Below are 19250 nucleotides of genomic sequence, written 5' to 3'. Positions count from 1 at the left end.
CACTTACACACTCTGGTTGAGAACGCAAATTAGTAAAACCTCTATGGAAAACAGTATGACGATTTCTCAAAGAACTAAACATATAACTACCATTTGACCCAGTAATTCCACTACTGAGTATCCACCCAAAAGAAATCATTACATAAAAAAGATAACTGCCACCAGGTGCAGGGGCTCACACCTGTAATCCCAGCACTTTGGGAGGCTAAGGCGGGTGGATCACCTGAGGTCGGGAGTTCGAGACCAGCCTGACCAACATGGAGAAACCCCATCTCTACTAAAAAATACAAAATTAGCCGGTGTGGTGGTGCATGCCTGTAATCCCAGCTACTGGGGAGGCTAAGGCAGGAGAATCGCTTGAACCTAGGAGGCGAAGTTTGCGGTGAGCTGAGATCGAGCCATTGCACTCCAGCCTGGGCAACAAGAGCGAAACTCTGTCTCAAAAAAAAAATACATATATAAGAAAATAACTGCAAGTATATGTTTATCACAGCATTTTTCACAATAGAAAAGTCATGGAATCAACCTAAGTGTCCATCAACAGATTGAAGAAAATGTGGTACATATCCACCATGGAATATAATGCAGCTTTAAAAAAGAATAAAGTCATGCCTTTTGCAGCAACATGGGTGGAACTGGAGGCCATTATCCTAAGAGAAGTAACTCAGAAACAGAAAGCCAAATATCACATGTTCTCACTTATTAGTTGGAGCTAAACAATGGGCACATACGGACATAAAAGATGGAAATAATAGACACAGACTACAAAAGCAGGGAGAGTGAGAGAGGGGTGAAGGTTGAAAAATTCTCTATTTGAGTGGTGGGTGCATTAGAAGTCCAAACCCCACCATTATACAACATATCCATGTAATAAACACGCGCAGGTACCCCCTGAACCTAAAACAAAAATAATATAAAAAAATTTTAAGGCAAATTTAATAAGTAAAATATACAGTATTTTGAATGGTGATATTGCTATAGAAAAAAAAGCAACATGTACAACTTGTTTACACCTTTACTCAAACATGTTAACTGTAACAAGACGTCTTTGAGATAACTGGGAAATTTGAATATGGACTGGTCTTATACAGTACTATTGTTAGATATGATGATGGCATGGTGTCTGTGTTTAAAAAAGATATTTATCTATTAAAGGTGAATACTGAAGTATTTATGGATAAGATTGCAAAATGTTGATAATTATTGGTGTCGGATGATAGATACCCAAAGAAGGGCCTTTATACTAATATCCTATGTATTTATATTTCTAATTTTGTGTATGTGGACCGTGGAAAAGAACATTCCAGGCATAAGTTGGAGCTAGTGCAGAGCCCTGGAGTAGGAATATGGCTGGCATGTTCAAGGAATAAGAACTCTAGTAGCTAGAAAGGGACGATCCATGGGTAAAATAGCAGGAAGTGACATCAGAGAGTTAACAGGGATGAGGGAGGAGAGAGGAAATACAGGGACATATCAAATAAAGAATACTTAAAATATTTAAAGAATACCCATAAACCAATAAGAACAATACCAGCAACCCAACAGAAAAATGGGCAAAATACTGAATAGGCACAACACAGAAAAAAAATATGTCCAATAAGCATATTAAAAGGTGCTTTATTTCATTAGGCACTGGAAAATGCAAATTAAAACCACAATGCTATACCAGTACACACGTACAGACAGGCAGGCAATATTAGATATTCACATTGGTGGGTGGGTGAATTGGTACAAACTGCAATGTCTACTAAAACTAAAAATATGCATACCTTATAAGCCAGCAACTCTATTTCTAGGTATAAATAGCCAACAGAAAGCCAGGTATATGCTTACCAAAAGACCTGAATGTTTATAGCAACACTCTTCTTAGCATCCACAGTGAGAACTACCCAAATGCCCAAGAACAGTAAAATGGATAAACAAATTGTGTTACAGTCGTACAATGGGCATTTAGAATAAACAATATAGAAAAATCTCAGGAAAATATTGAGTGAAGGAAGCAGACACAAAGGATTCAATACTGTCTGATCCCATTTATGTGAAGTTAAAAAACAAGTGAAACTATGCTGTCAGAATATAGAATAGTGGTTATCACTGCAGAGAAGGTGACTGAAAAGGGGATTGGGAGGCTGGTGGGGGTGTGTAAAGGCCTGTTTCTTATTCTGGAGGCTAGTTAGATGAGTTCAATTTGTGAACAGTCACCAAGCTGTAGGTGGACAATTTGTGCACTTTTCTGTATCACGCTTTAATAAACCATGTTTAAAATCATATAGGGGCATCTTGGTTTCCTCCCCTGAGGTGCCAGTGACATATCCAGTACCTCGAAGTCCCCATCCCATGCTAAGTGAAACGTGCTTTCTCAACACACAGCTGCAATCTCTACATTTAAAGATACTGAAACTGATATAGCGGGTTCTCTGGCTCCTGGAAAAGATAAGTCTACTACAAAGAAACTAGGCAAAACTTTAAATAATATGATAACAGCTATCTTCCCCTAAATGTTATAGAGTTAATAATGTACCTTATTGTGACTTATACAATAGAACGTATTTGTATAGTATTGTAATGCCAGTTAAGTTGTAGCATCATTATGACACCAATCATTTACAATTTAAAGGAAAATAAAATATTTTAATTGATTATGGGCTCTTTAAAAGCCAAAAATTATTAAACCCTTCAAACTAGAAAAGACCACTGAAACATCCTACAGGTTTTAATTTCCAATAAAGTAAATACTGATAACTATAACCCACATAAAAAGCTCTTTGGGGTCCTCAATAATTAGTTTTAGAGTAAAAAGTTCTTGAGACCAAAATGTGAGAAAACCACGTGAATTAATCCCAGCCTTGTTATTAGATTTATTTCTTCCTATGCCCTCATAAGGAAGCATTGCTTTGGAATTCCAAGATGTATGTAATTCCCTGGCTTGGCTGAGGTTGCCAGTTCTAGTTCTTTATTCTTTTTACTCAATTTTTCCTTTCAGTTTGTTGCTTTTTCTTACTTTTTGTCCAGCATTGTGCTTTAATTCCATTATAGAGATCCATTCTTCAGGTGAACTATGCAAGTGATTTTCTTTTCAAGTGATTTGAACCAAGCGTCTTACCAGTTTTTCCCGAAATTAAGCTGACCTGGGACACCTTGACTCCAAGCCCAGCAGTAAGTCTCACATGCCACAGGGCCTCTCAGCCATCTCTGCTGAGAAGGGACCCTTACTGGCAGCTAGGATCCTTGAGACCATCGTCAAGGGCAACCTGGCTAAGGTAAGGTTGGCCTGGGACCTCTTAACTGGGAAAGCAGCAGCTGTGAAGTTCATTGATGAGACTCAGCAGATCTCCTCCAGACACCATCCACAAAGTAGGAACCATGAAGGCTCGGATCACCCCAACATAGTGAAACATTTGCTGTGATCGATATTGAGGAATCTCTTTGCTTTGTCATGAAGCACACTAGCCAGGAGGAGAAGTTTGTGAATACCTGCTCATGGCAGCAGGAAAGAAAAAAAAAGGACTGAAGCAAATTCTACCAAAAGTGTCTGCTGTGCAAGCTGTCACCAGAAACGTATTGTCCACAGAGATTTAAAGGCAGAAAACACGCTCTTGGATGTTAACACAAACATCAAGATTGCAAATTCTGGCTTCAGCAACAAATTCAGCTTTTACAAACTGGATACCTTCTGTGGCAGTCACCTCTGGTCAGCAGATCCCTGCTTTTGATGGACAGAATTTCAAGGAGCTGCAGGAGGGGAACTGAGTAGAATATATTCCCTTCTACATGTCCATTGAGTATAAAAACCTGCTCAAAAAATGTATCCTTCTCAATCCCAGCAAGAGAGGCCCTTCAGAGCACATTGTGATGGATCCATGAATGATTAGGAAGCATGAACAGGAACTTAAGCCCCGGACCTCCGCCATACTGAATCATGGCGTCCATGGGTTACGGACAGGAAAGATCCAGGACTCCCTGTGAAGTGTGATGAAGCAGCGATCGCCTACCTGCTTCTGGGTTCTAAGAGATCCGAACTGTAAGGTTACCCCATCACCTAAAACCCCCACTGTCAGCTGATCTGACCCACAGTGGTGCGCCTTCCCTATACCAGGGTCTCTGCCAGCCCCGAGCAGCAGCGTTTCAGCAACCTGCCTTTCCCATCTTTCACGGCCTCTCTAAGAAGACTCAGAGGAGCCACAAAGATCCTAAGCGGGATCAAGAGACAGAGCAGAAAGGCAGCACTGCGCCCGCCAGCCCCGTACTCGCCTGGAGGGGACGAACCCCGCCCCCTCTGTGAATAGCGACCTCTTACCAAAACCAAAAAAGAGCAGGAATTCCTCACTCGGGGCAAAAGCCAGTTTGGCCAGACCTCCACGCAGAACGACAACAGCAGCCCCACAGCGCTGGGCCTGGGGCCTCCTGGGTTCCTGCCTCTCACCCCCCGCCTTCGTCTCCCCGGCCACCAGCCCGGGAATCCCAGTCGGTCTCCTTGCAGCCCAACCAGGTCTCGGTGTCGTACCCCACGGAGAGCAGCTGGGGGGTGCCCGCCAGGTACAGCTCCCCAGAGTGCCCCTGATACCTCCCTTCCACCCGCGTCATCAGCGCAGGGGGCAGAGCAGAGCCCCCGATGGGACAAGGTACGCGCGGCCTGGCAGCCCGACAGGTGACGGCCCCGGAAATGCGGCCCAACCGGGTGACCCCAGCCTCTCCCTCAAACAAAGGCCGCAGACAGCAGGGGGCCGCCGGGAGCTTCTTCAGCAAGTTCAGGTTCAAGTTCACAAGCTGGACTCTTAGCTGCGGGTTTGCCCAAAGGAACCTGAAAGAACCTGAAAGCAAAGACGGGGGAGGACACTCCGACCTCACATGGGGGCAGCAGAGGCAGTGATTTAAAAATGGCTTTCCAGAGACCCAGCCGCGCTCCCTGCCCTTGAGGCGGAGGCTGGAGGTCGCGAGTCGGTGGAGCCCCGCTCGGTGCTGCGGAGACTGCAGTGGCGGCTGGGACCCGGAGCCGTGGGCGAGGCCGGCGCGAAGAACTAAGGGAGGACTCAGGCGACAACTCCAGCAGCCTCTCCACTTGGTCCCCCGAAGCGCCGGTCCAGAAGCTCCTCGGCCTCCACGAGCGTCGCCACCCAGGTCACCACGCCTGGGGGCCGAGAGGTTCAGCTGCTCGCACCCGGGCCCCGCATCTTGGTCCCGAGCGTCTTCCCCGGGCCTTCTCCCCTCTCTTGCCGGTCTCCGCCTTCCCTTCCGCCTTCCTGCGCTGCAAAATAAACAAAGACTAGTCTGAACAGAAGGAACAGGCGTTCAGAGCGCCAGCTCCCCCACCACCCCTCCGTTTCTCTTCCCACTGCTGCCCCTTAGTTGCGTGAGTCTGGGCTCCAGCGAGTTCACAGCAGCGACTGCTCCCACCCCACCCCGCTGTCTCTCCCCTCTGTTTTCCTGGCCTTCACTTCCGGACGGTGTCCCCCCTCCATGGGCGTGGGACAAGCAGAGCAAAGTGGCGCCCGTCTGCTAACTCCAGGCCGGCATGGGAGTGGATGGTTGTGGCCACTTGGATGGTGGTAGCCCCTTCATCTCTCAATTTATTTTTCTGCTGTTGCTGTTCTTGAGAAACTGAGGCGCAGACCAAGAGATCCCCCTCCCCCGGCTCTTCCTGTCTTCAGCTCAGAGGGGTCCAGGAGAAAATGACTTGGCTCTTGAAGCAGACAGGGGCTGGGGCACCCTAGCAAGTGGCTGGCCCCTCCCTGCCCAGCATCTCCTCTTGAACTTAGGTTCTCCTAGGGATCGAAGGCGTAATAAAGAGAATGCGATTTTTCGGAGGAAGCGGGTACCATGTATGGCCTTTAGGCTTCTATAAGGACTTTTACTCTGAGAGAATGAGGTTTTCACAGAGAATTGACATGATCTGATTATGTTTTAACAATATCCCTGTGTTTGATAAAGTGTTTACAGGGACAAGGACAGGAGTAGGCAGACCCTAGGAAATACGGCCATGGTCCAGGCGACATGATGGTGGCCTGGACCAGGCTTGTGGAAGCAAGTGTGGGCATAGGACCCTGTGGCTGGAGGCTGGTGCCTGCTGAATTCACTTTCTGAGGGCCCTCCAGTAGGACTCTCTCTGCCTCCCAGGCCCAGTATGGCCTTACTTCCAGTTCTGTGCCTCCCAGACTCCCTCTTCAGCTGATACCAGAAGATTCAGGTAGCAGAGGCCAAAGAGAGTAATATGAGATTTAAGTTAATAAATACATAACTAAAGGAGATGACATAGAGGAAGAGAAGGTCATCCATTCATCAGCTGCAAGCAACAGAAACCAACTCAGGTTAATTTCAATGGGAAAGGTGTTTGTGATAATGATATTGGGTGGATTACATTGCCAGCATGTATGAAGAGCCAGGTTCTATGAAACACAGGCTCACCAAGACATGACACAGCTCACCTAATGTTGACATCCCTACCAACACTAACAAGCAAAAGACTCTACAGCCTGCACCACCAACCCCTCCACTACTGCACTGTGACACTGCCTCTAGCTCTGCTGCCACAGCTGCACTAGGAATTCAGTCTGAATGGAGGCTCTCAGTCCCTGCTTCTTTGAGTTACTGGTTCCTGCTTCCATGGCTGAATCTGATTAGTGGAATGTACCTCACTTGGTCATGTCCTAGCTCCAAGGGAGTCTAGGCAAGCAAGAGTTTGGCATTTTCATCTCCCATTGGGTGAGGCAGTCTCTCCTCCACACTATGGCTAATAATGTTGAAAAAGATTCCAAACATACACTGGATTTTAGATGCTAAGCAGAGCTAAAAATTCACAAATGTCCATAAGAAAATGTAAATCAGATTGGGACCAGTGAATGTCCTATCTATAATATTACTAGACTGATTTCCTTCTGTGGCTGTGATCCACAGTACCAGAAGGAAATTATAAAAATATAAAAATGTTCCATTTTGTTTGTAAGTGATTTAGCCTTCTGAGAAAACTCAATGATTAATATTTATTTGGGTATTTGTTTAAATATTATTGTCGACATGATAAATTTTTTATAAAACGTGTGTGATATATGTATATATGTAGGTATAGATATGTATGGATAGACACATGATAGATAAGACACTCAAACACTGACAATATCATTATATCATTTGACACTCATCTTGATCCAGCTATAACTAGAGCTAAAAAAAACTCTTGGAATTTCCAGGTATTGAAACAAATAAATTACCTTTTGTGTTTCAGCTAGTTTGAGATGACTTTCTGTGTCACTTGTACCCAACAGAGTCTGGAATAAAAAAAAAATTTAAATATTATTGATACTTAACATTTGTTTATTCTATTTGGACTTATAAATGGACTTATATGAGAGATTTTTAATTAGTATCAGAAGTAAATGAGTTAATAAAAACTGAAATGATTGTAGATTTATTTTTATAACTTTTATGTCTACAGCTATGATAAATTTTTATATTTTAAATTTCTATATATACAGTTTTTTTGTTTTTTGTTGTTGTTGTTTGTTTGTTTCTTTTTTTTTTTTTTGAGATACAGTCTTGCTCTATCACCCAGGCTAGAGTACAATGGCATGATCTTGGCTCACTGCAACCTCCACCTCCCAGATTCAAGTGATTCTCATGCCTCAGCCTCCCAAGTAGCTAGGATTACAGGCATGTGCCACCACGCCCAGCTAATTTTTGTATTTTTGGTAGAGATGGGGTTTCATGATGTTAGTCAGTGGATCTTGAACTCCTGGCTTCAAGTGATCTGCCCGCCTAGGCCTCCCAAAGTGCTGGGATTACAGGCATGAATCGCCACACCCCAACATAAATTTTCTATATTTTTAAGGTATAGTTTCTCCTAATGTGTGTAGGTAGGACATAATCATGCTTTACAAAAAGGAGAGATGTTCTGCTGGATTTTGAAAAATTATTTTTAAGTTCCAAGCAAGACAGGTTCTATTTGTTCCTGGAAAGGTAATTGTTTTGACATAGATTTAATGTCATTGTGTGAAGAAAGAATATATTTTAACACTTAAGCTACTTATATGTGAGGAAAAGGAGTAAGGAAGATAAGTTTTTGATTAAATAAATATAGTAATAGCATAAAATTAAGGCTCAACTATGCATCAGACTCTAGGGCTGATACCATCTTATCCTTAACACAGACATACCACACACATAGTTACTTTGCCCTAAGGATTCTAGAGCACTAAAATAGTGTATAAAAATGTATATAAGGCCAGACACGGTGGCTCAAGCCTATAGTCCCAGCATGTTGGGAGGTCAAGGTATATGAGGTCAGGAGTTTGAGACAAGCCTGGCCAACATGGAGAAACACATCTCTACTAAAGATACAAAAATTAGCTGGGCAGGGTGGTGTCCATGTAATTCTAGCTACTCAGGAGACTGAGGGATGAGAATTGCCTGCACCCGGGAGGCAGAGGTTGCAGTGAGCAGAGATTGGGCCACTGCACTCCAGCCTGGGTGACAGTCAGACTCCATCTCAAAAAAATAAAAAATAAATGTATACAAGAATGTTATGAGACACTTCCCACTAATCATCAGAAAATGAACATGGACATATACCTTTACTCCCTCCCATAGCTCACTATAAGGATCCTAAAGATATTAATTTAAAAGGTCAAACCACAGAATGAATAGAAGTGGCAAAGAGACAACAGCAATACAATTTTGGAAGCAACAATGCAGATGTTTTATTAGCAGTTTTTAGCAAAGATGAGAAAGCGAAAACCTAAGCCAGCAGTGGCAGAAATATAAACAGAGTAGTTTCTGCTGCAAATCCCTCAAAAGCCCTGAATTGGAGGTGGCATGTGCCCAATGGTGGAACAGGTAAGATGAAAAATAGGGGAACTGGAAGTCTCAATACTTAGCAGTCCATATCCACTCCCCACTGGCAGTAAACTGGTTTATTCTCCAGAGATGTCAATTCAGCAAAGCTCTGGACTTTAGGACCAGAGTCGCCCTAAAGGCAGTAAGACTGTTCTGAAAACCAGGGAGCAAGTGACAGGGTACATTCCAAACAGACTATTTGACCCCCTTATCGATAAGGATCCCAGAATATTGATGGCTAATTTAGGGTGCAGCATTCAGGCTTGGTTTATTTTCTTCTTTCTATATGTTTTTCATTCTTTACAATGAACATATATGATGTACGCAGTTTTAAAAAATCTAGGAGGTGAATAATTTTCAACCCAGAATTCTATATCCAGCCAAACTATCTGTTGTGCTACTCCAAAATATAAAGGATTATTGAGCTGCAGGTAATTAAGAAGAAGCAGATGCAGAGAAGCTCTCTGCCATCCCTCTATTTGCCTAAAAGCAGGACATACAAAAACTAAAAGTATTCTGCCTCCCTTCTACCAGGGAGACCAAAAGATAACCACATAAGACAACTTTAAACTGTTACCACCTGGAGATGATACCAGGGAAATCTCCATTAACAAACATTACTAGCTAGCCTTTATTTGCTATGCATTTGCCTTCCCACAAGTTGCCACTCCTAAAGTTCTTTTCCTTTACCTCTCCAGAAATTTGCTGTTCATTATTGAAGATGCTATATCAGCCAGAATTCAAAGCCAATTCTGAGAACTACTCATTCCCTGGGTGTCTCTGGTGTATGTATGAAATACACATGTTAATACACTTCTGTTTTTCTCTTGTTGATCTGTCTTGTATTACAGAAGTTCATTTCAACTAAGAACTTACTGTTGAAGAAAATGATTACTCTTCCTCTATACAACCAATTATGAGAGTAGATTGAAACATTTATCTCACATGCAAGGCCTCATATTTACCTCCAGACATGCTATAGCAGAGCCTTCTGAAAGATGCACTCTATCAAAATGAAGGCGTACTACCAGAAAGAAAACCAGCCACATATTCACAGAAATAGGGGATCCAATATATGAGAGAAAAAAATTGAATTGTCAGGATAACAGTAAGAAAACATCTCAGGGCCTACAGAATAAGTAGTCCAGATTGGAACAGGAGAAAAGAGGGGTTCAGAAGCAAAGAATGCCTTCCGTAGGGCCGACTCATCCATTAGGCTGAGTAGGCATAGTGCTTGAGGGCCCATGACGCTGTTAGGAATTTACAAAAATGTCGTCATTTTAATTTCCTTTAAAATTAGGAGATAAAATTAATATAATAACAGTGACTATATGATAATAAATCCACCCTGATCATATTTACCTTTATACCAACGTGGCTGTAAAATAATTTTTATTTTTTATGGAGGAAGGAGCTCATGAAGGCAATGTACCTAGGACCGTGGCCTCCAGGAAAAAAAGGAAAATAAAAGAAACTGGATAGTTTCATTTGAATGTATCAAAAGGCACTTAAGACTTGTCAGAATTTGGCAGAATGAACTGATAATAACTACTTAGAAAACTAACTAAACAAAAATCAAGGCAATGCATAGTCAAGGAAAAACAAAAGCAAAGGTCTACAAAAAAGAAGTAAACCTAATACACTACAAGTTCATCTGTGAATAATATTTACATTGTCAAAATAAACACTAAACACTGATAAGATTTTTAAAAATATGATATTGCAAGATTAAGAAATGAAAGAAGAAGCTACATGCCCAGTTGTAAGACAGCCAACTCCTCATCTTTTGTAGAAGAAAGGCAATAGATAAGAACCAAACTGAAAAATAAATAGTATGAGAGGTATATTATAGGCTTGTGACAGTAAACAATAGAAAAAAAAACAGTTAAAAGAGATGAAAGTTGTTGCCTTTGGAGAGTGAGAATCAGAGATGGAGAAGAGTGGATAATGGTGTAATTTGCATTACATGACATACAACTTTTTGACTTTATGAACAAGAACCTAAGTTACCTTAATGAAATTTACAATTAAAGAACTTTAAGGATTGTTGAGAGTTAATATAATTAAATGAAGAATTTTCTACTTTTCTAAGTGTTTATGTATTAATTTTTTTAACATTTAAGAAGTGTGAAAAATGATTGAATTACATGGTAGCCTACTTAGATGCCATGAAAGATGTGCTCATGGGACATTAAAGAGATTGAGTAGACTGTGAGGCCAAAGTGAAATTCCAACCTGATGGAAGTGAACAGGGAATACTTCAAAAAGAGAAGAATGACTGAAAATGAGGAAAGTGAAAAATGCTAAAACTGGTTAAACAGAAGGGTCAGGAACAGTCAATATGTTATAGTCAGTATGGAAGAATACAATATACATTATGTATATGAGCTTTTCATGAGAAGACATGGGGGAAGAGTTAAACAATAGAATAACAACCATAATATTTTATTAATAACTATTATGAGCTGCTAAAATGGCATATATTTGGTAGGATATTAGTATATAAAAAAGGCTTGAGGTATTTAAAAATCTGTTCCCAGAAAATTATCCCCAAAAGTCAAAATATATATTTCATAGTTCTTTTAAATCCCTGACTTTCCAGCCACATATTCATACCACAATGCTGCACACTAAGCTGTAGATGGTTGAGTGATATGGTTTTGAAAAGATAATAAAAGAAAATTGAAAAGACACTCTTAGGTAAAACAAAAAGAAAATATTTCTCTCAGACAATTTAAAACTTAGGTAGTATAAGATAATTAGGGTTTTTAAAGAAGTCACTTTACAGAAGAAAGGAAATAAAAATTTTGCTGACCATGGCATATTTAAGAAAAAAAATCCAAGCAAAGAGGGGAAGAGTTATGATGAGCAGTGAGCAGTGAGGTATAAGCCCAACACTTTTCAGCCCACTGAAGTGTCCTGCCTACAGAACTCAAGGCAATTTCAGACTTCCTATCGACTGACATAGGTTTGGGGGTGCGGGAAATGACTCAAATGCTGCCCAAAATATATTTTTAAAAACTTTTTCCCTGATAAGCTTTTTAAGCCAGATAATGAAACCAAGTTGTTCGTGTTTCATATTTGAGAATCTAAGTACTGGATAAATAATAAGGGCTATCAATTATTGGGGGCTTTAATAATTCTTCAAACATTTAATGAGTGTCTTCTGGGTGCCAGGCGCTGGGACTATAGCTGTAAACTAAACAGGTGGCTACCTCCACAGAGTTTATAGTCTAAGGATTAAAAAATTAGACCTTGCACAATAGTGGGAGGAGACGGGGAAGTAAGGCCACCGTTGGAAGGTGGAGAATTGGAGAAAAGTCTCTATTCACCTCTCCTGAAGTAGTCAAGTGAAGGAAAAGTCACAGGTTACATATAGAGAACTGGGAACATCCAGTTGCAAGAGTGAGACCACAACAGGAGCTGGCGAAGAAGTGCATGGAAGGCTGTTGCCTCTGCATTGACTGTGGGTTTGGGGCTGCTGTTGGTCAGCAAGGCAGGCAGAAAAGGACACCAGCTGGAGTCAAGACAGAGGCAGGCGAGGACAAGCTAGAGCCCACAAGCAGTACATCTACACTTCTCTCCTTCCGCACCAGCTACACAGAGTAACGGTTACTCTTTCACTTCTGCTTCCCAAATCTGGCATAGATATATCTTTTGGCCAAACCTGATATGGAGACATAATGGAAATGAAGTTCTAGCTTAGGCCAGTTGATACAAAACCAGCACGGTCCATCCCTTGTCAAATTGGCGGCCGAGAGCACCTCCTTTTACCATATTTAATTTCCAGTAGCAAAATCTTGCTTCAACCTAAGGTGCAACTAACCCTGCTACAACTAGAAACACCCTAAACCTCTCTCCAATGAGGATATGAAGTCCCGTAGGACTTACCGCATAGGTCACTTTATCTTTGGGGAAAGTTCATCCTTTTCTAGCTGAGTCACACTGCCCTTTTAATATCCTGAGATACATGCTGAACTACAATACTATTGACACGTTTTATGTTCAATAGTAGAATGGATGGAGGAAGAGAAAGAAAATGAACCAGTATTATATTTGCAAAATGAAAATCAATCCTTCTGAAATATTTAAACGGTTTCTGCCTTTGTAGGAGACCGTTTGGTAACGTATCGAAATCCATAACGGCCGTGATTGGCGCGCAAGCGCGGGGCTGCCCAGGGGCCCTCCTTGCCTCCCGCCTTATGGGCCCGGAAGGTCCTTCTTTCCCCTAGCTTGGACTCCAGCTCCTGCCCGCGGAGCTTGGTCTAGCTGCGGGAAGCATTGAAGCACAAGGAGAGTACTTTTGCACAATGACCTCCAAATTTTACTTTGAGGACTTTATCATAGTGAAACTACCATGGCTGTAGCTTATATCGGTTTTTTTTTAAATGAAAATAACCTAATTATGCAACAGCGGGAGGGTTGCTTGAGTAAATTATTGTTAACTCCAAATGACAGAATAATGTATGAAACAATTAAAAATAATTTGTTAAAACAATGAATGACTTAGAAAGATTTTTATTATTAAGTGAGAATAAAAGCAGAAACCTAAAAGATATATTCAGTATGAGCTCATTTCTGTAAAATGATGTATTTTACAGAGGAGAATAAAGTTTAAAGCATGCAAACCAACGTGGTAACTGTATTAAACCTACTTAATAACAAGAAGCTATTCATAGTAAATAAGTTGAATTTATAGAAAGAAATTTACTATGAGGACAAAAAAGGATAAACAGGAAAATATTTGCAAAACAGATAATCTAACGTATAACCAGTTCCTTCAATTAAATAAGAAAATAAGAATCCAATAGCAAAAATGAGGACATGTTTAGAAAAAGAAATAAAACATTTTAAACATGTGAAGTGTTTTATTTCATTTCTGCTAAGAAAAAGCAAATTAAAACAAAAATCTAATATTATTTTAACCATCAGAAAGCTTGACACATTGAGTTGACAAGAGTAAAGGAAAACAGGCATCCCGATATATTGCCAGTGGGAGTAGAAATTGCTGACACCTCTATGAAAAAAATACGCAAGCCAAAATTTTCAATAATGTGCCCCTAAACCCAACAATTTTACTTTAAAGTGTAGACATTCATTGCAGCATTTTTTATAATCTGAAAAAAACAGAAACAAATGTACAGATAAGAACTGGTTAAATAAATTATGGCAAAGCCATACAATGAAATACTCTGTGATGATTAAAAATAGTAAGGCACTTCTTCATGCAATTATATGGAAAGATCCCCAATATATATCAAGTAAAGGATTTTAGGTATATAATGGTATAATTAAACCCTACCATTTTTGTAAAAATAAAATATGTGTGTATACACACATATCAGGTATGCACACCCACATTCCTATATGGGCATAAAACATCTCTAGAATGGAACAACAACAAAAAATTGATAAATTGCTCCCTCTATAATTTTGAGGAAGCTCCCAACAGCTAATTAATTTTTGTTCTTTGCCCTAAACCTGCCCCTTTTTTCATTTTTTTCATTTCCAAAAAGGTACTACCATTGATTGTCTCAGAAAAGTAGAAATGAGATTTGTTCCTTCTCTTGTCCTCACCCAACCCCCATTAAATCAGTTATCAAATCCTGCTAACTTTATTTCCAAAACAAGTCTCAACTTTATCTACTTGTATTACAGATGTTGGCTATTTATCAACGTTTTCTGTTCCTTTCAACCTTAGTCATAGACGTCCTGATTTTCAACTAGACCTGTAGTAACCTAGAGTAAACATTTTATTGTCTATCTTCCATTGTAATCACATGGGGCCATGCTACTGAGTGCTTTCCAATGAGCTGTAACTGCAAGCATCACGTATAATTTCTAGAAATTCTCTTACAGGAAAGGGATGTATCTTTTTTCCTCCCTTCATCATTCACGTTGTCTGGGATGAAAACAACATGACTGGAATTAAAGCAGCCACCGTCAATGAGGAGGTTGAAGTCACGTATTGACAAAATGGAAGGAATCTGGTCCCTAAGAATGGTGGAGCCACCAATTGAATTCTAGGCTATGTACAGATTTCAGTTATGCGAGAGAGGAATAAATATCTGTCCAAGCCACTGTAATTTGGAGTTTCAGTTACAGCTACTCCAAATCCCAAATGATAAAATGTCTCTGTATTTCAATGGCCAACCACCTGACCAAAGCCCAGTCCATTTCACCTGAACTGCTGCAACAGCTTCCTAACTGTTCTATCCACATCCCACCTTGACCTCTTCCTCTGCTGAATTCTCCACACCTCAATAAGAACATGCTTGTAATATATATATGTATATATACGTATATATACATATATATGTATATATACATATATATGTGTGTATATATATATATATATATATATATGATCGAATCCTCCCTTTTTTTTACAATCCTTTAAGAAATTCCCATTAGTTTTAGAGTAAGTTTAAATTCTCAACATAGCCTATTCAATCTTACATTGTCTGGCTCCTAAAACTTCAGCTCATCCCTCGCTGCTTCCCCCCCTCACTCACTGGGCTCCAATCACATGGAAGTTTCAGATATCCTGTGCCCTCTACTGTTAGATTCACCTTAAATCTTCTGTCTCCAGTCCCTACTGCCTACTAAGTCTACTAATCAAATCTTTCGGGTCTCTGGTAAAATGCAACTTCCTCAGGAATTATAGTCAGGAATCATGACTATACTTTCTCATGACATCTTGGATTATGCCTTATAGTCCTTATTTCCTGCATGGTTAGCATGGTTATTTGTGCAATTATTCCTTTAATGTAGAGGTTTCAAATGGTATGTAGGACTAATCTGCTTACAGATGCATTCCATGGTCCACACAGTATTTCTTTTGAAAAGCTTTAATCAGTGCATTCTCTTTTTGGTTTGTCACACTTCCCATCAATTCACACCATTTCACAAATTTAGGTCCCTTTCCTGCCTCCTGCAGGCCTTTGCACATTTGGCCTGCCTCTCCTACTAAACTAGAGTCTCCATGAGGGTAAGGATGGTGCCTGTCTTCCTCATCACTCTATGCCCACTATCTGACATCCTTAAGACCTATCAAGGTGCTCTGGAAATCCTTGCCTAAGGAATAAAGCCAATGAATGAGCTGTTTTCATTGCCATTATTAGCAGCCTTTTTCTTCCTTTGGTTTTATTTTTAATACCAGATACCATAAGTAGATAAGTGTGGTGGAAGTATCCATTTGGTAACTATTTCACATGAAATTTTGAACAAATTTAGCACAAGACTCTGAACCTTAAGGCAAACTTTCACTTTTTATCCACTGGACTAAATAGAAAGTAAATTCATATAGTTACACTTTTGAATTTTGAGAAGTTTACAAAAATATTTCATCCAGGCCATTCTATTTCTATTCCCTAGGAGTTAGGCACCTCACTGACAGTGCCCCCAATTCTCCAAAGGCTTTTTAGCTCAAGGTTTAAAAAATGAAATGTAACTTTTAAAAAAGCAATCTGTCCTCCCTGATGGCAACTCCAAAAAATAAACCCAGATCACACTGCTTAAACGTTTTATGACAGCAAACATTGTGCTTAATACAAAACAGGAATTTTCAATTTGTCAATAATAAGAAAATGAAGATGCAAAACAAAATGTCTCTGTATTTTCCAGATATTTTATTTTTATGTTTCATATTTTCTTATTCTTCAAAGGGACAGAAGTTTGAGGTTTTGTATTTATTTTCTAAAGCTGTGGCCTTCTATATTTTGACAGAAAGTATTAGGGCTGAGTTACTTCTAAAAATTCCAGGTTCTCCACTCTTATAACACATTTACATTGACTTGAAAATTTTTCATTGCACCTACACACACATTTTTTGTAGGTTTTCCTCACTTGGTGAAGACTGCAATGTTGTTAATACCTCTGAAGCATTTTAGAGTTACCCAAACTCTAGATGAAAATTCTACAATAAGGAAATTCAGCAGGATGCTAAATAAGCAATATTGCTCTTTCTCTATAATTGTTGTCAAAATGTTAAAAGCTAAGCCTTCCAGCCAAAACAAAAAGAAATGATAATTTTCTGGATTGGATCAATGGTCCATTCAGGCCAATAGCATCTTCAACAATTCATTTGGGAGGTGATTTGCCCCTAACTATAATGTTAACAAGAACAGTGTTTCTCCAAGCATTTCAGAGTCTCTTAATCATGGTTCTTTTATTTGTGAATATATAAAAACATTTTTAAACTCATAATATTTCCCTTGACTTACTGTCCACCAGAGGAAGTGGTATTTTCTCTTACTTGGCTTAAGCATTCTTAAGCTGCAAAGGTAACTAACTACTCTCTCTTGTGTTCCAGGATTCAGTGAAACGGTCTCTATTGATAGCCAGATCAGACTGTGAATGAATGACCTTTTAAAACAGCCAGGTGTTTATCTCCCAGTGCATCCTTCCCTCTCTTCAGGATAAATCTTGGACAGTTAAGCTTATCCTCATGAGGTATCCTTCCCATGATATTTTTCCTGAAAAATTCCACTTGGCCTTTGAGAAGTGACTCACAACCATCTAAGGAAAAAGATACTCCAAAACAGGGCTCCAACTGGGTGGGCCTAGGCCATCTCAATGTCTCCAGTCCAGATCAACAAGGAACAGAAATACTGAGGGGTGGAAGAAATGACGAAGAAGCAGGGAGGAGGTTGGTAAGCAGTAGGCAGGTGAGGGGATCCACATCCACTGGATTGATAAGAAAGTTTGATTCCACAGCAAATACACCAGTCTAGAGTGTTCACAAAAACCCTTCAGACATTTTAGTTATGGGCACTGTCAAAGTTTGTTACAATCTTGCTTCAAGGACAAAGGCCTCCAGTAAGCCAATCAGAAATATTAATACATTCTTCATAAGAACATTTGATAGGAAAATACAAAAAGAAGAGAATGTTTGTTAAAAGCCACTAGATTGTTGAATGTCATTCAGTGGGGTAGATAGGTGACTGGTTTCCTAGAACAAGACTTTGGTCCATTAATGTTTTCCAGAATATTACTTAAGCATTTTGTCAGGAATGTTAATTTCTTCTCAGAATGAGGTTGCAAATTACATCATGTAAAAAGATTCCTTCCCACACCAGGTTTGGGGCAACTTCTCTTTTATAGTAGTCAGTTTCAAGGCAGTGACCAGAATTCATATGACAGTCAAGAATTGGAAACAATATAGCAGAGTGTGAGTTTTGCAGTCAAACGGACCTGAGTGGTGAACCTTAGTATTAGCTGATTCATGTGTAAAATGAGGGTAAAATAATAACTACCTTGTTAGGGAGGAGATACTAATAAATACTATTTCATTCTTGTTATTTATTTTCTCTGAATTTTTACAATTGATCACTTTTATATTAATCATTTTTATTCATCATCTTAATAATAAAAAATATTTGTTATTATTTTAAAGCATTATTATTTAAACATATTTATTATTTTTATGTGCTCATAGCAGCCAGGATCTGTATCTCCACATATCATTGCCTATTTCAAGGTCCTGAGGTAAGGTTTTAAAATTTAGAAAACACTTGAACACCAGAATCTGTTAGGCAATGTTATTCAAACACTAAGTTCCCCACACTATGGAAGTCAGGCAAAGTCCTAGACCAAATACCATTCTGAGCAAAGTTTTCACATACAAAATAATGTGTTAGTAGAACTAACTGTCTCTTCCCAGTAGCCCATTGCCATGGTAATCCACCAGACAAAATAGGATCGAAGAAAATATTTCTAATGCTTTCTTGTTCCAAGGCCTTGGCTTGCAATTTTGTCTTCTCAATAGACCATTAGCAAGTTCGTAGTGCCCTGTGCCAAACATCAAAAATTCAGATAAACTCAGGTTTATGTGTCAGTCATATTCTTCCCTTTTCTACCTTCAACCAGGGAATCCATGTGACCATTTTCCAGCCATTCTGGGAGTCCTCTGAGCAGCCAGAACAGAAGCATGGCCCAGCCTCCCCACAGCTGAGTCAGGCCCTTATATAATGAGTCCTATTGTTCCTCAATAAAAGCAATTTCTGTATTTCAAGATGTACGTCAAAGAAACATTTAACGGCAACTCAAACACTGCATTTTTCAATACTGGGTTAAATTCTTTTTTTTTTTTACAATCAGTAATTCATTTACTTCACCTGTATACCTATCACAACAGTCAATCCACTGTTTCATAATTCCTTGTTTGATCATCTGATGCTCCTACTAGCCTGTGAGCTGGGGGGCCGGGAGAGAGTCTGCCTTGCTCAGTGCTTTACATCTGCAGCCCAGCACAGTGCCTGATGGCAAAAGCACAAAGTATAAGTGATCAAATAAATATTCTATTATAATTGATTACTTGAAATTGTGAAAAACAAAATTCACCAGACAATTAAGGAGATGATTTTATTTAGGCTGTTGCAATGAGGAGAATGTTCATTTTGTGAAAGAAAGGGAAGGGGTTC

The 19250-nt window shown here is 39.8% G+C and overlaps 2 long non-coding RNA genes and 1 pseudogene across 2 annotated transcripts, besides 1 other annotated feature; 2 read left to right on the top strand and 1 right to left on the bottom strand.

The window, feature by feature from the left end:
- Positions 1-1601: 1601 nt before the first annotated feature.
- Positions 1602-12970, bottom strand: LINC00865 (long intergenic non-protein coding RNA 865). The gene is made up of 4 exons (NR_038382.1): positions 12718-12970; positions 12159-12493; positions 7206-7262; positions 1602-5245 (listed from the first exon to the last, which is right to left on the bottom strand). It is a non-coding gene; the product is annotated as a long intergenic non-protein coding RNA 865 (long non-coding RNA).
- On the top strand, positions 3122-3687 carry MARK2P16 (MARK2 pseudogene 16; annotated as a pseudogene).
- Positions 4528-4587: a silencer, noted in NCBI's record as "silent region_2597". NCBI's record gives its function as "represses an Ori minimal core promoter by ATAC-STARR-seq in GM12878 lymphoblastoid cells {active_cell/tissue: GM12878}" and the evidence as "EXISTENCE:reporter gene assay evidence [ECO:0000049][PMID:35858748]".
- LOC105378424 (uncharacterized) lies at positions 11642-18943 on the top strand. Its single transcript, XR_946196.3, has 3 exons — positions 11642-12431; positions 17141-17280; positions 18697-18943. It is a non-coding gene; the product is annotated as an uncharacterized LOC105378424 (long non-coding RNA).
- Positions 18944-19250: the final 307 nt, after the last annotated feature.

This window comes from Homo sapiens, chromosome 10 (genome assembly GCF_000001405.40).
Source record: "Homo sapiens chromosome 10, GRCh38.p14 Primary Assembly".
Classification (NCBI taxonomy): domain Eukaryota; kingdom Metazoa; phylum Chordata; class Mammalia; order Primates; family Hominidae; genus Homo; species Homo sapiens.
The sequence above is the reverse complement of the archived record's forward strand: the minus strand, read 5'-3'. Positions and strand labels throughout refer to the sequence as shown.